General features: G+C 40.5%; 1 protein-coding gene across 20 annotated transcripts in view; it reads left to right on the top strand.

Moving 5' to 3' along the window:
- Nucleotides 1-16,039, top strand: part of ENOX2 (ecto-NOX disulfide-thiol exchanger 2) — a 280,885-nt gene that overhangs the window by 261,599 nt on the left and 3,247 nt on the right. For 14 of the 20 annotated variants that reach the window (NM_001281736.2, NM_001382517.1, NM_006375.4 and 11 more), the window contains 4 exons: nucleotides 4,201-4,382; nucleotides 6,520-6,627; nucleotides 10,035-10,143; nucleotides 13,568-13,653. In NM_001281736.2, the coding sequence (NP_001268665.1) occupies nucleotides 4,201-4,382; nucleotides 6,520-6,627; nucleotides 10,035-10,143; nucleotides 13,568-13,653 (485 nt within the window). The remainder of the gene's footprint in view (nucleotides 1-4,200; nucleotides 4,383-6,519; nucleotides 6,628-10,034; nucleotides 10,144-13,567; nucleotides 13,654-16,039) is intronic. The other 6 variants (NM_001382521.1, NM_001382520.1, NM_001382522.1 and 3 more) reach the window with 1 other exon arrangement.

The raw sequence follows: 16,039 nt of genomic DNA, 5'->3' as shown, positions 1-16,039 counted from the left end.
TGAGTAGCTGGGATTACAGGCACCTGCCACAACGCCCAGCTAATTTTTGTATTTTTAGTAGAGACGGGGTTTCACCATGTTGGCCAGGCTGGTCTCGAACTCCTGACCTCATGATCTGCCCACCTCAGCCTCCCAAAGTGCTGGGATTACAGGCATGAGCCACTGCGCCCAGCCAAAAGTTTTTATTTTACATTCACTTTTTCATTCTTTGATGCTCTTCCTTTCTTTATGTAGATCCAGATTTCACAGGGTGCAGAATTCTAGGTTGTTGATTTTTTTTCTCTTAACTCCGTAAATATTTTATTCCACTTTTTATTTGCACAATTTCTGAAAAGAAGTCGGATATAATGTTTATTTGTGCTCCTCTATAGGTAAGGTGTTTGTTTCCCTTGTGGTTTCTTTCAAGATTTTTTCTTTGATTTTCTTAAGTTTGAATATGATATGCGTAGGCTGAAGGGGTTTTTGGCATTTATCCTGTCTCGTGTTCTCTGAACTTCCTGGATCTATGGTTTGGTGTCTGACATTAATTTCGGAGAAATTCTCAGTCATTATTGCTTCAAATATTGCTTCTGTTTCTTTCTTTCTTCTCCTTCCAGGTATTCCCATTACACATGTTTCCAACTTTTGTAGTGGTCCTACAGTTCTTGGATATTCTGTTATGTACTTTTTTCAGTATTTTTTTTATTTTCAACTTTTATTTAAAGTTCAGGGGTATATGTGCAGGATCTGCAGGTTTGTCACATAGCTAAATGCGTGCCATTGTGGTTTGCTGCACAGATCACCCCATCACCTAGGTAGTAAGCCCAGTGTGCATTAGCTGTTTTTCCTGATGCTCTCCCTCCTCCCAGTCCCTACCCTCCAACAAGCCCCAGCGTGTGTTGTTCCCTCCCATGTGTCCATGTGTTCTCATCATTCAGCTCCCACTTATAAGTGAGAACATGTAGTATTTGGTTTTCTGTTCCTGTGTTAGTTTGCTAAGGATAATGACTTCCAGCTCCATCCATGTCCCTGCAAAGGACATGTCCTCATTCCTTTAAATAGCTGCATAGTATTCTGTGGTGTATATGTACCACATTTTCTTTATCCAGTCTATCATTGAGGGGCATTTGGGTTGATTCCATGTCTTTGCTATTGTGAATAGTGCTGCAGTGAACATACTCATGCATGTGTCTTTATAATACAATGATTTATATTCCTTTGGGTATATACCCAGTAATGGGATTGCTGGATCTAGGTCTTTGAGGATTCACCACACTGTCTTCCACAGTTGTTGAAGTAATTTACACTCCCACCAACAGTGTAAAAGCGTTCCTTTTTCTCCACAACCTCGCCAGCATCTGTTGTTTTTTTCTTTTTGTTTTTGCTATGGTCTGAATGTATGTATCCTCCAAAATTCATGTTGAAACTTAATCAGCAATGTGCTATTAGGGGGTGAGGCCCTTGGGGGTGATTAGGTCATAAGGGCAGAGCCTTCATGAATGGGATTAGTACACTTATAAAAAGAGACCCCAAAGAGCCGCTTGTCCCTTCCTAATGTGAGGACACAGGTAGAAGTTACCATCTATGAACTAGGAAATAGGCCCTCACTAGACACTGAAGATACTGGCACCTTGATCTTGGACCTCTGAGCTTCCAGAATTGTGAGAAATAAATTACTGTTGTTCATAAGCTACCCAGTTTGTGGTATTTGGTTATAGCAGTTAAAACGGACTAAGACAGGTTTTCAGTTTTGGAAGTTTCTATTGTCATATCCTCAAGCTCAGGGATTATTTCCTTAGTTATGTCCAGTCTAATAATTTCCCCATCAAAGGCATTCTTCATTTCTATTAGTGTTTTTGATCTCTAATATTTAATTTTATTCTTTCTTTGAATTTCTTCTTTATGCTCTTATTATCCATCTGTTCTTGTATGTTGTCTAATTTTTTCTTTAAAGACCATTGCATATTAATCATAGTTTTTTAAAAAAAAATCCCAGTCTGATAATTCCAACATCTCTTCCATATCTGAGTCTGGTTCTGGTGTTTGCTGTATCTCTTAAAACTGTGTTTTCTACTGTTTAGTATGCCTTGTAATTTTTCATTAAAATCTGGACATGATGTACTAGGTGAAAGAAATTCTCATAAGTAGCCCTTTAGTAATATTGTGGTAAGGTGTAGAGGAAGGGAAAGCATTCTCTAGTTCTATGATTAGGTCTCAGTCTTTTGGTGAACCTGTGTCTCTGAACTGTGAACTTCACCAGTGCTTCTCAGTTTTATCCCACTCCCACCACCATCACCCCCCACCCACACACACACACACCTTTGGTGGGACAGGATGGCTGAGGGGGCTGGAGTTGGACATTTATCTTCCCCCAGGTCTGTTAGGTTCTTCTAAAACCCCAGCAGGTGAGGCTCTGGTAAAATAGATTTTCCCGAGGGCAGGCCTTGTGAAGAAGACCAGGATGGTCTGCAATTTCAAAATTGTTCCTTTTCCCCTTCCCCTGCCAGAAACATGAGGAGATTTTTCTCTGATATTCACTGTAAGGAACTGGTATATCTCCTGGAGCTAAAACTTACAAATGTGTGGGAGCTCTCCAATGACTGGGTCTTCCTGGAGTTTTGTTTGTTTGTTTGTTTGTTTTTTCCAAGACTGAGTCTCACTCTGTCACTCAGGCTGGAGTGTAGTGGCGTGATCTCAGCTCACTGCAACCTCCACCTCCCAGGTTCAAGCGATTCTCCTGCCTCAGCCTCCTGAGTAGCTGGGATTACAGGCACACAACACCACGCCCAGCTAATTTCACAGACTTGTCCACACTGAGCCTCCAGCAATTTGTTAATTACACCTCAGGTTTTCCTACCCAAGGACTGGGTCCCATGGAAGTTTCTGCTCATGGGTCTTTGGTCCAGTAAATTGTGATTCTCTGTATTCACCTGTCTGTATCTCCAGTTTTGTTTTGGGGGCAGCTGTTTGCCCTGTAACCTCACTTCTCTAACAAATATAAAAAGAGTTGTTGATTTTTCACATTGTTCAGCTTTTTACTTGTTATTAAGACAGAGTGGCAGCTTCTAAAGGTCCTTACATGCCAGACTGGAAACTGGAAATCTTATGTCTTAGTTTTTACATTTACTTTTCCTCTGTGAGACGAGTCAATGCTATATTCGTGTGTGTGTGTGTGTGTGTGTGTGTGTGTGTGTGTGTGTTTCAAATTGTTGTTTAACAGTTATTTTAAAAGAAGTACATGAAAACGTGCATATTAAGAAATCTTGGGCCAGGCGTGGTGGCTCACGCCTGTAATCTCAGCATTTTGGGAGGCTGAGGCAGGCGGATCACAAGGTCAGGAGTTCGAGACCAGCCTGGCCAATATGGCAAAACCCCGCCTCTACTGAAAATACAAAAATTAGCCGGGCATGGTGTGGCCGCCTGTAGTCCCGGCTACTCAGGAGGCTGAGGCGGGAGAATTGCTTGAACCCAGGAGGCGGAGGTTGCAGTGAGCCAAGATCCTACCACTGCACTCCAGCCTAGGCGACAGAGTGAAACTCTGTCAAAAAAAAGAAAAAAAAAAAAGGAAGGAAGGAAAGAAAGAAATCTTGAAATGCGATTGCATATTCACTAACACAACTCCATCTGTGCCTTGTATTTCTTTTTCCGGGCCCCCATATTTGTGTGCCTCCCATAACCATGTCCCTCAGCATTTGCTTTCCAGCCTGCTAACCTCTGGCACTACTTTTGATTCTTCATTATTCCCCCTTACATTTTCAGTAAAAATAAAATGAGTGTAACTGAAGTTAGAATCTGACTCTTTATACAAAGCTACAGAGCAGCAGGAAATTCCGAGGTTAAGTTTCTCAATGCTGCATTCCTTAAAAACATCTGTCAGCAACATGATTGTGTAGGCAGTTGTCAGTTCAAGGGAATTGGTCCTATATTATTATTATAGGGCTGTTATTTCCTACATTTCAAATAAAAAAAATTGATGCTACCTCGAAATATCTTAGTTATATTTGAGGTGGAGAATGAGGAACATGATGTAAACTTTTGTGTGTTGGAATCCTAGTTCATTTATAAAAACAGGCCTGTGTGCTTTTGTATCTATCTCTTGCTGAGATGGCCAACTCAAACCTGAAGTTCTTCATCAAGAGGAAGAACCAACCTTTTTGTGATATCCAGATGAATCACAAATGAATCTGGATATATGGTTTCATATTTTATATTGATTGTTAGCCTTAGTATCACAGGCAGAAGCTCTGAAGGAAGAAAATGACAGCCTCCGTTGGCAGCTCGATGCCTACCGGAATGAAGTAGAACTGCTCAAGCAAGAACAAGGCAAAGTCCACAGAGAAGATGACCCTAACAAAGAACAGCAGCTGAAACTCCTGCAACAAGCCCTGCAAGGAATGCAACAGGTAAAGGCATTTTGGTTTTCTGAGCTTCTGGGTAGAATAGCATCAGCTTCTCACCTATAAAAGGGTCCCCTGCAATCAAATTGAATATCAAACCTATTATTCTTCTTGATGTAATATTATCTGGCATGGCTGAGGAAGGAGTTATTGTTGTGTTTAATTAAATATTCCAATTAATACAGAGATAGCAATGGATTGCCAACTTTCAAAGAATGAGCATTCAGTGAAAAATATTTAACATTAGACTACACTGAACATAATCTAATCTTTTCTTTATGCTTCAGAAGGTACTTAGGGATCTAGACAGGGCCTCAGGGTCTTTACAAAGAACCTCAATTATTTAGATATGAAAAAGAGCTGATGAACAAGTATCTAGTTGATAGAATACCAAGAAATACAGCCTTTTAAAAGGAATGGCAGGAATCGACCCTTGATTTCAGTAGAAATAGGTACATTATAGGTTTTTAAGTGTCAATGCTTTGAGCACATAATACCAACTTGTTTTTATTTTGTTTTGTATTAACAGTCACTTATGTGAATGAGTTTACCTGTGCATAATTCAAAGTGTAAAAAGCAAAGTAAATAAATGCACCCAACTGCGATTGCATTCACAGACAACATAGTGTAGCAGATGTTCAACATCTAGGAGTTTTACGTAACCATCACCACAGTGATCCTACAGTTTAAAAGATATCAACAGCTGCTTTCACTATAGTAAAGGAGTAGTGCCTCTGAGTAAGGCCACTATTGTCTTCTGTCATGCTAGACTACCAGCCATTGTCCTTACATCTTAAATTGTGCAATAGTTTTTAACTGTATGCCTTGAAATTGTCTAGGGCAAAGCTAATTGCTGGTTGGAAATTACAAATCATGAACAGCAGTCTATTCTGGCACTAGGAACCCTATGTTATTCTTTCTGCCACTATTGTCTTCCTATACGACAAGTAATATGACATTAATATTTCACCTTTTCTGTTAACAAAATGTGTGAAGTAATGCTCACCTTCCTTTTACCGTCACCATGGAGTTTAATTAGAACATGTAAATTATATCAGAGATCTTTCTATGAAAAAATGCACCTCCTCACCTACACTTCAAAGAACTTTGACAATGTACATTGTATCATGCTTTTTAACCCTTCCAGTGGTCTTTTGCAAGCCTCTGAAAAGCAAGACTTTGGAAACATTTTTGTTGTTGCTGTTTTTCCCCTCTTTGATTTTCAAACCATTTCACATAAGGATAGTTCTGCTACTTAAATGCAATTCGAAAATCATGAAATTTTATTTCATTTCATCACTTCAAAGACCTCAGTGAGAATTAGGTCTCTACGTCTTAAAAAATAATTTCACTCATTTTGATTATTTTGTATTGAAAAAAATGCCTTGTAAACAATGATAAAATTTCTCACATCTTATCTCAAAAGACGTATAGTATAATAAGGCATGTAAGGACATGAACTCTGGGGTTGACCCAACCTGGTTTTAAATCCCAGCTCTGCCACTGACTATCTGAATGGCGTTAGGGAAGCCACTTAACCTCTCCTAGCCTTAGGGATAATAGTAACATAGGGTCATTGTGAGGTTTAAATGAGACCGTGCATGTAACACCTTTAGCACAATGCTTAGTACATATTAGGCACTCAATAAATATTATTTGTTGAAATTATTAATAATGCTAAATATAGCTTCCTGCCTACTTATATGGAAACTAACATGTAAAATTTGGATTATTTACTACTATCCTCACAGAAATTGAACTTGGCTTGGCAAATGGCTATTTGCAAGAATGCTTTACAACATTACATTTACTTATATGCAGCAATCAAAACATTGCCCACACAGTATTAACTGCATCCTACTCTGACCCCTGGCCAGAATAGGGAAGAAGTTAAGTGACTGGATCAATTAGTTTCTCAGGACCTTTCTAAAATATTAACAAGTTCAAAGGAATTTCGTAAGAGGCAGACAAAATAACGTAAAGTGAAAATATCTTGATTTGCCCAATCTCTTTATGGAAAAATGGTCGTGTGTGCTGGAGGAAAGTGAGGCAGGCCCACCTGATATCTGATTTCAGCCAGAGATTTTAAATGAAGTGTGGCTCCGTAATTCATAAATTGATTGTCTTTGGTCTTTTCTTGTAGCATCTACTCAAAGTCCAAGAGGAATACAAAAAGAAAGAAGCTGAACTTGAAAAACTCAAAGATGACAAGTTACAGGTGGAAAAAATGTTGGAAAATCTTAAAGAAAAGGTACATGCACCCTAAGTGAACCTTTTTCCTTGCCCCTTTACCTACTTTTCAGTGACAGTGAAAATGCCCTGGAAGTTATGCCCTAGAAATCAATGGGGCCAAACATTTTTGGCCGATTGGGAATTAAAAGCCCCTCTCGGGGGTAATTCTTATACTAAGGGCTTTGCTTTTAGGTGTGAGTCCTTGGCATTTCTAAGGGTTCTGGAGTGTACACCTTTCAATGAATAAGAAGTCGGTTCATCCCTAAAACTCCTCAGTCTTCTCTCTTGGAGACGACCAGAGTGCACACCTCTTCCCTGCTTCATCTTGTCAAGCAAATAGCAACATAGAAAACTCATGTGACACAAAGCACCTTTAATTGAGCATTTCATTAAAGGAAGAAACACAAGTGCAGCTAGCACATTGGCATTTCTTTGCAGCTAGTCAATTTAGTGTAATAATGAGCAGCTGCAGATGAGAGGAATAGCCAATACCAAGAAGAGAGAAACCTTGGGGAAAAAAAATGAGACACAGTATTCTAAAGCTAGAAGCCAAGATGGGACTTTATCAATTGAGAGCTCTCAGCAATAAGAACCACCAATGAGGACCAGAGAGTCTAATATCTGGATAGAATCATGTATCACAACCATGAATCAGGTGCCCATTCTATTCAAGGTGTGTAAAGTCAACCTCTCCAATTTCCTTGATGCATCAATACTCAGCTGATGTTATCCTCTGAAAAGGGAAGCCCATTCACCAAAACTTCCTTGTTTTAATTCTCTAAAGGAAGAGAAGATTAGGAGCTTGGACCGAGGGTCAGAAATCAACAGTGATACAGTTCCTCAAGAGCATATTCTCTTTATCTTCTGTTCTCAGCTCAGGAAGATGCAGTGCATACAGGCCCTGAGTGTGTTTACCAGCACAGTGCCTTCCCCTAGAGTGTCATTAAGAACTGGCAACCTTGGTGTAGTTGAAACAAATGATTGAAAGTGTTTTCTTCTAGAGGCCATTTGCAACGTGCTTTTAATTCTTCCACTTCATAAAACCAACTCACTTTCCAGTTTTGTGGGCACTATTAAAGAAACAAGCATAATCCCAGAGAAATTCATTTATCAAGCATTTAATTGAAAAGAGCCAAAGCTGCTTTACTTATCAGGACTTTCCTCATGCCATCGGGGCTTCTAAAGTGTCCCAGAGCTGCCACATAGCTCTGTTTTGCTTCCTGCATAAAATGGATTATGTATCCAGAAGACTGTAGACAGACATGGGGTTATGCTCATGACATTATGCTTAGAATTACTCTTCAGGATTGACATCACAATTTGACCTAAGGACATTTTTTTGTGTAAGTAGCTTTCTGCTTTGTAAAGTATTTCATTTAAAGAAGTAAGAGGTCAAATGGCATAGAAGAAACTTGCCATATTGTGCCTAAGGGCAAGTGTTTCCCATTTGGAAACTGAATAGACCATGAAGTGTTGGCTGATGAGGACAGGGGAAAAGATCCAACTGATAATCCAAAAAACAGTGAGTCAAAATATGTTTTTTTCTTGTTATTTTAAGCAAAGCTTCTTTTAGAGAAATTCATGACAGTTCATTATAAACTGATCTTCTCTGGGAAGCTGATTTGTGACCAAATATTTCAACCTGACACAATTAGGTTAGGAAGCAAAGTACCATCACATTAGACTGCAAAAATAATTTCAGGTTGAAAGGAAAGCAATAAGTTTTGGTGAGGAGGGATCTCTTTTTTTATTTGCTTTTGTTTGGGTTTCTTGACAGTAAGCTACAGGGTGAGTTATTGTCAGTGTTTTGCAGTATAACAGTGTGACTTATGTCTGTCTTAGTGCGGAAAGAACTAAGCTCTTTAAATCTGCTAGTAAAATTCAAGGTGATAAGCATCCTTTCAATGTACCTTCTAATTTTTTAAATGCCAGCTATAATAAAATTGAAGTCAGGTTTAAGGAAGGCTGCAGTTCTATTCAAGATGGCTAAAACTTCCCAGAATATTTTCACATCTTAAATCAACCCCAATCTGTTAAACTCTCACACTTAAGAAACGGCTTACCGTATCATTTAATGTTTTAAGGGGGTCAGAAGCAGATGTGAAGCCCATGGCTTAGAAGTGAGCTAGTAGTTTAAATCAAACTTGGCATAATGGTTACTGCCTGGATTGGATTCTAAAGGCCAAAGATTGAGTAGGTCATCAAGAAAGGGTTCCCCTCTGACTACAGCCAGGAAGCCTGTAAATTCACACAACAACATGTCTTGCAGCATAGACCATTCATTTCATTCAGAGACAGCATCCTGGAAGCTTTGAAGACATCTTTGAAGAAAACAGAAGGAATCCTGTCCCTTCTAAGGGTTTGTGGAAAGAGAAGAAGTGAAAATGCATCTGAGTCAGCCATGATCTGCCCCCCAAGGAGCATTTCAGCAGCATTTTCTTTTCAGCAGTAAAAGAAGCAGTGATTTCTTTTATTCCTTCTTCTGAAAGCTTTGCCTTCACATTTATAATAACAGAAAAGATATTCTCCGTACCCAAAGAGAGAAAGAAAGAGCCATGAAAGGTCTGGAGGTATTTTTCAGTTTGACTGCTGGTCATGGATTTCACCTGAGTTTCTCTTAGGACCACCCCCCCCCCCCGCCCCTTCCTGCTACATTCTGAAAGAGAAGAACTTTCCACAACAAAGAAGGCCATTACTAATGCTATTTTTTGTCATGGTCATTTCTTGCTGTAAAGTCAGGAATATTCTAACTGATAATGTCCTCATCAGAGAGAGAGAAAGACTAGTAAATGAAAGCTCTAATTTTTATTTCAAAAACCAACAGTTGATTAACTGTCAGTGGAATATAAGCTCTAATTTTTAGTTCAAAAACCAACAGTTGATTCACTATCAGTGGATTGGCAGTGTAGCCAACGTAGATTGTCCATTGAGATGGGACTTACCATTAACAGAGTGTGGACCTTAAACTTTTTTAAAAAAACAATGGTCCTTTTAACAGTGGGATGAAATCCTGGCTCCACTTCCTTGCAGTGTGATCTTAGCCAATTTACCTGAGCCTCACTTTCCTCATCTGTAGAATGGAGATAATACTTACCTAACAGTGCCTAGCATCTTGTTAGTATACCATAAATGTTGGGTCTAGTTGCCCAGATTGCTTGTATAAAGTCAAGATGAAGGCAGAAAAAAAAAAAAAAAAACTGGTGAAGGTAAATGTTTAAATGTTTCTGTGTTTTGGAGCCCTATAAATAAACTTTGGAATATCTGTGATGCTTTTGTAATTTATGCTATTTTCTCTCCCATTCAGTAATCCAAATTGAATGGTATTGTTTTTATGGTCCTGTGTTAAGTTACCTGTTGTGTAGTTAATTGAAACCAACTCTATTGCCAAATAAAGTGAACTGACCTAGAAGCATGTTGTGTCCACAGGAAAGCTGTGCTTCTAGGCTGTGTGCCTCAAACCAGGATAGCGAATACCCTCTTGAGAAGACCATGAACAGCAGTCCTATCAAATCTGAACGTGAAGCACTGCTAGTGGGTAAGGAAGCTAATGCACACATGCCACGTACAATGCCTGGGTACAATGGAGGAGAGGAGGGCTTTACCTAAGATTAATAAGCACATGCCAAGCATTTATGAAGCATGGCAGCGCAAGAACTCAGAGTTCTGAAGATGATAGGTTAAGAACAAGTACAAATTTCCAAATTTAACAGCAGCTGCCAGCCTCCCTCACACTCCTTGTAGCCACTGCCATGTCAAGCAGTCAAGCATGTCAGTACAAGCACTAAGCTAAGAGGGGTCAGCTGGAGAAACACACTGTAGATTTTTTTTAAATATCTGTGCAAGGATAGATAAGCCCTCTCATGTCCACTCAGGGGGCTAGCGCAGACCGTATTTGGCAGAGAGCTTTTCCAGAGAGCCTCTGGAGCAACTATAGGCCTCTCAAGTTTTTCCAGGTTACTGGCTAAGCTATTTTTACAACACTTCTGACACCAAATGACAAGGGATTGTTTGTTTGTTTGTTTGTTTGTTTGTTTGTTTTAACCTCCAGACACCAGATACGTGGTGTCTTTTCCAACACCACATCTCCAACTCTTCAATACCAAGTGGGTGTCCTACAGTTGAATTCTGTTCTCACACTCACTACCCAAAGTTAGAGTTTAACATTAGACTCCATGAGTTTAAGGGCTCAGTCCTGGAAGACTGCCCTCTGTATAGATGCCAGTCTCAAATATACAGTATCCAAGTTTCCTCTACTTCTGTCTGATTTGGCTACAAAGTCAGGGGTTTCCACAATACCCACCCCAGGTTTGATAATTTGCTAGAATGGCTCACAGAACTCAGGAAAGTGCCTTACTTACTCTTACTGATTTAGCATAAAGGATACAATGGAAGAGGTGTATAGAGCAAGGTACTGGGAAGGGGTATGCAGAGTTTCTATACATTTTTGGGTGCGCATCTTGATGTATTTGCCAACCAGAAACCTCTCTGAACCCCATCATTTCAAAGTTCTTATGGAGGCTTCATTATATAGGCATGACTGATGAAATCACTGGCTATTGGTGATTAGCTCAATCTCCAGCCACTCTCTCCTCCCTCTAATCATGCCTAAGTCTTTCTGATGGCCAGCCCCAATTCTAAAGTTATAAGGGGCCCCCAGCTACCACTCATCTTAACTCTTATCACTCCAGAAATTCCAAAGGTTTTAGGAGCTGTGCGCCCCGGGGACCACGGACAAAGACCACATGTTAATTTTTTTATTATATCACAGTGACAGATGACTCAGGAAACTGGTGTTTTGGACACTAGTGGGCTTTGATGAGGTCCATGCTAGCATTGCTGTCTGTAAAAATTCATTCAGAGAGGCAAGATGGCACAAATGGTTAAAGAATCAGACAGACCTGGCTTCCCATCTTGACCCCACCATTTCTTCTCTGAGCTTCAGTTCCTCCATCTGCAAAATGGGCATAATGATATTACCGACCCGAAAGGGCAGTTGTGAGTATTTAATACGATAACTCACCTAAATCACTTAGCATAGTGCCTGGCCCATAGTAAGCCCTCAGTAAGTAGAAAACATATTACACTTCACAGCACCATTCACAAATGCTGGCTAACTTTATATTCCATTTGGAGAACAGTGGCAGATTGAGGCTCTAAAATATTTAAGAGGGGCTAATCATTTAAGAGTGACTGGTCTTAGGCCACAGCAGATAATCCCAGCTGCCATCTAGGAAGCTGAGCTATACAGTAGCCCCACTCTAGTCTCAAAAGCCCTCCACACTGACTGGCTTCTGCATATTTTTAAGATATCTCTGCCTCCTTTGGTAATGGATATTATCCTCAGATTTAACACTTTGATATGTTAATAAAGATGCACAGGGGGACCTGCCATTGAATCTTCAAGAAAAGTGACAACTTATTACAACTTATTAACGTCTTCCAACTCCAAGTTCTTAACAAATTGGCATGGCAACAGGGAGACCTGTCAGAGAAATGCTGGGGATACAAGGAAGCCTCTGTGAATGGATAGTCCTAGAAAAAAAGATTCTTAAAATAAGTCTTTCTTGTTTTGTTTTTTCAAGAAGGTAGTCTTGGGCTGGCAGAGAGAAAGGAAAATCTATTTTTTCAATCAGCTTTTTGGGTGTGAACCCACAAAATCGCTTAATGTTTTTAAACCTCTGGAGTTATTTCTTGGCATTTGACAGCCTTTCTTGGCCAAGACGTCTAGAATTTCTTCAAACATGGAATGTCTTCTTCAGAATTTAAGTTTCTCAGCCAGAATCAGTGTTTAGAAATTCAATTTATCTAGTCGTTTAAGAATAAAGTAATGTTCTAAGTAATAGCATCCCTTTGGAACAGATTTTGAGCCCTGCCCTCAGTTCCTTCTGGAACCCTTCCCCAACTTACCCCTTTGATTGAACTTCAAACTACAATTTAAACCTGTGCTAGTCTTTGTCAGCCTCTTAAAGGGACAGACAAGTTGTAGTTTAGAAACCAAATCAAATTTTGCTTTTATTTCCTGACAATTTTCAACAAACTCAATTCTGGGTCTATTTGATGCACTTAAGATCTTATGAAAGGAGGTGAACGCAAAAAAAAAAAAATTGAAAGAAAGAAATATTATACTTTTGAAAAATTTATTTTCCACCTGTTCCCAGAGAAAGAAGTATTAAACAATTAACCTAATGGCCAGAACAATGAAGGCAGCATGTGAAGCTGCCAGCCACCCCAGAGTTAGGCTAAGTGGAAATCAGGGGCATTCCTGGAGGCTGTAAACTGCTATAAGAATTCTGTTACACAAAGAGATTCAAGGCTCTAAGCATGGAATGCTAGTGACCACTTGAGTTAGCCGTGAATGAAATGTTTGACTTTTCTTTACAGAGCTGTTCACAAAATAATACCCAAATACAATCAGCAGACTTTCTTGTGAGAGGCACAAGGTTAATCAGGAAAGTACATGATTTTTACTTTTACCACAACAGCAAGGCATTATTAACACCTAAGAGGCTAAAGTCTAATTTAAAGACTGTGAAGGAACTGCAAAAGCCCAGCACAGTGTAAATTCATTGTAAAATCCTTGAATTCAGACAGTGTTTAGCCATCACAAGTAATGAAAGTGACTCCTCAAATGCCAGCTTTTCTACATGTGATATAGCACAGTAAGAGGCAGTATGTGACTGTCTGGGTTCAAATACCAGCCCTGCCACTTACCAGCTGTGTGACCTTGGACAAGTTGCTTACACTTTTAGTGCATCTGTGTCCTCAGCTGTGAACTGGGGATGACAATACACACCTCATGGGATTATTATAAAGATTAAATGAGTAAAATACGTGTAAACTTAGAATAGTGTCCAGTATATTTCTGTTGTACATATGAGTCAGCTCTTGCTATTCACTGTCATGTGGAACCTCGAGAAATACAAGGCTCAAGTATAACCTCCATGCTCTTGTCTCTGTAGGGATTATCTCCACATTCCTTCATGTTCACCCATTTGGAGCAAGCATTGAATACATCTGTTCCTACTTGCACCGTCTTGATAATAAGGTATATGGGGGCCTAAAATGGGGATGCAAGGGGATGTGGGATTTTTTGTTAACAGGTGACCTGACTCTCCTCAAGCATAAATAGGTCATTAGTTACTGCTTTCAGGAAGTTTCCCTCACCTGCTCTCTCACTGTGATTCAGTGCAGAGCTTCCCCTTTGCAAGTGGGATGACCCATGTGTCCTGGTTTGCTGGAGACTGAAGTGTTTCCTGGGACTTGAGATTTTCGATGTTAAAACCAGGGCAGTCTCAGGCAAACTTGAATAAGTTGACCATCCTTTTTCCAACATATATCTTAGAAGACTTTTCCTCTCTTAATTTACCTGTAAGCTGCAAACCAACCCATATCAGCTTTCTTACCCACCAAACTTTTTTTTTTGAGACAGGGTCTCACTCTGTTGCCCAGGCTGGAGTGCATTTGTGAGATCACAGCTCACTGTAGCCTCAACCTCCTGGGCTCAAGTAATCCTCCCACCTCAGCCTCCTGAGTAGCTGGGACTACAGATGCATGCCACCATGCCTGGCTAATTTTTGTATTTTTTATAGAAACAGGGTTTTGCCGTGTTGCCCAGGCTGGCCTTGAACTCCTGGACTCAAGCAAGCCGCCTGCCTCGGCCTCCCAAAGTGCTGGGATTACAGGCATGAGCCACCGTACCCGGCCCCATCAAACTTTTGTCCCTGGTTTTTAGCCATTATCCAATGTTCATTTTCAAAATGGGAAGTCTTATTCCATCCACCTCTCCCACCATCACCCCTGCTATTATCTATTACAAAACAAGGGAGGCAGGTGCCAAAAAAAAAAGATGGAGCAATGAGCTGAGAGCCTCTGTAACACAGACTGAATATTTGCTCACAGATGATCTCATGGTCCATTTCCTTCTCTGGATGCTATCCTTTGGGGGAACTCCTAGGGCATCTGGAGCAGGGGTAAGTGCTAATTCCCTAGGAAATCAAGGATGCCTCTAAGATGCAGGAGGGGACTCTTGACTCCTCAGAATGAATCAGCTCAGGATACATTTTTTTTTTCAGAAGCAGCATTCAGTGAAATGTGCCCATAAATTGTACTGCCTATTTCATAGGATCTGGGCCTTTTGAGAAGTGCCATTGAATATAGGTGCTGTCCAAAATGTTAAGTCATTTAAGCATATGTTCTCTTAACAAAGACAGTGGCCCACTTGGGAATCTTATTGTTCTAACCACATCCCAGCTGTGGTGATACATCCTCTTCAATGGCATTTGCTTTCATTCTAGCTAGCACTGCCCCCTCATTTCCCTCTGGGAAGTGATGCTATTCTGCAATTAAATAGCCCATTTGGCAGTGAAGGGGAGGATGGAATGTGAATACTAGGACCAAGTAGTCCATTGCAATGGTATTAAATTGAACTATGTGTCAGTAAAAACCATCTGCTTATTTTTTAATTTACAAAAATAATACATGCACATTATCTTAAAAATGTAAGCAGTGTAGAAATCTAGTAAAGTGCAAGTTACCACGCACAATCCCACTGCTCAAGGATAACCACTGTTAACAGTTGGGCACATATTTCAGACCCTTTCCTGCAAGTGTGCTGTACCTATATTAAATGTATATATCTATACACATTATCTATGTTTTCTGAAATGGGGATTCAACTCTATATGATACCCTGGAATGTGCTTCATTCACTTGACTGGATACAGTCTACTGCCAGCACTGGGAAGAAGGCATAACTGCCCTCCTAGCCTAGGCCTAGCTCCGCCTTAGCAACTTCCTGCCGGAGTAGTGCCAGGGTCTCCCAAAGAGAGCCTGAGGTGATACCAACAGAATCGGGGCTCCCTCCAGCTCCAGGGATATTCACTGTGACACCAACTCTGGGTGTCTTTCAGGATCCCCTGGTGCTCTTTACCCAAGCCCTGGTGCCAAGGCTCATAGTGAGGAGGGTAACTTACTAACTCTACTAATGTGAAGATGACCACCTAAAACAAGTCCTAAAGGAGTCCACAGATTTGTTTTTGTTTTCGTATTGAGGGGTGTGTGTGTGTGTGTGTGTGTGTGTGAAAGAGAGAGAGAGAGAGAGATGGGGATGCAGAGAAGTATGAACACAGCGATTTCCCCCTTCCTGTTACTTCTCCATTATGAACTAACGCATTTGTGAGGGATTCTGCTCTGGTGGCAGCCATTTCTACCTTCCTCCCCTCCCAAAAGGCTCAGCAGCTTCAGTGGACCTGCACGCAGCATCACTAGAACTGAGCAGCCATCATTCAGCTTCTTACAAACCCAGGCGTTTCCACATGACTGACCCCAGCTCTTTCCAATAGCAACTCAGCAGACCCTGTCTGATGGTCACAGCAGAGGAACGCTGCTGGCTGGAAGCCACTCTGCCAACACACACAAATGCGCAAGGAGCA

Source organism: Homo sapiens, chromosome X, assembly GCF_000001405.40.
Source record: "Homo sapiens chromosome X, GRCh38.p14 Primary Assembly".
Lineage (NCBI taxonomy): Eukaryota > Metazoa > Chordata > Mammalia > Primates > Hominidae > Homo > Homo sapiens.
The sequence above is the reverse complement of the archived record's forward strand: the minus strand, read 5'-3'. Positions and strand labels throughout refer to the sequence as shown.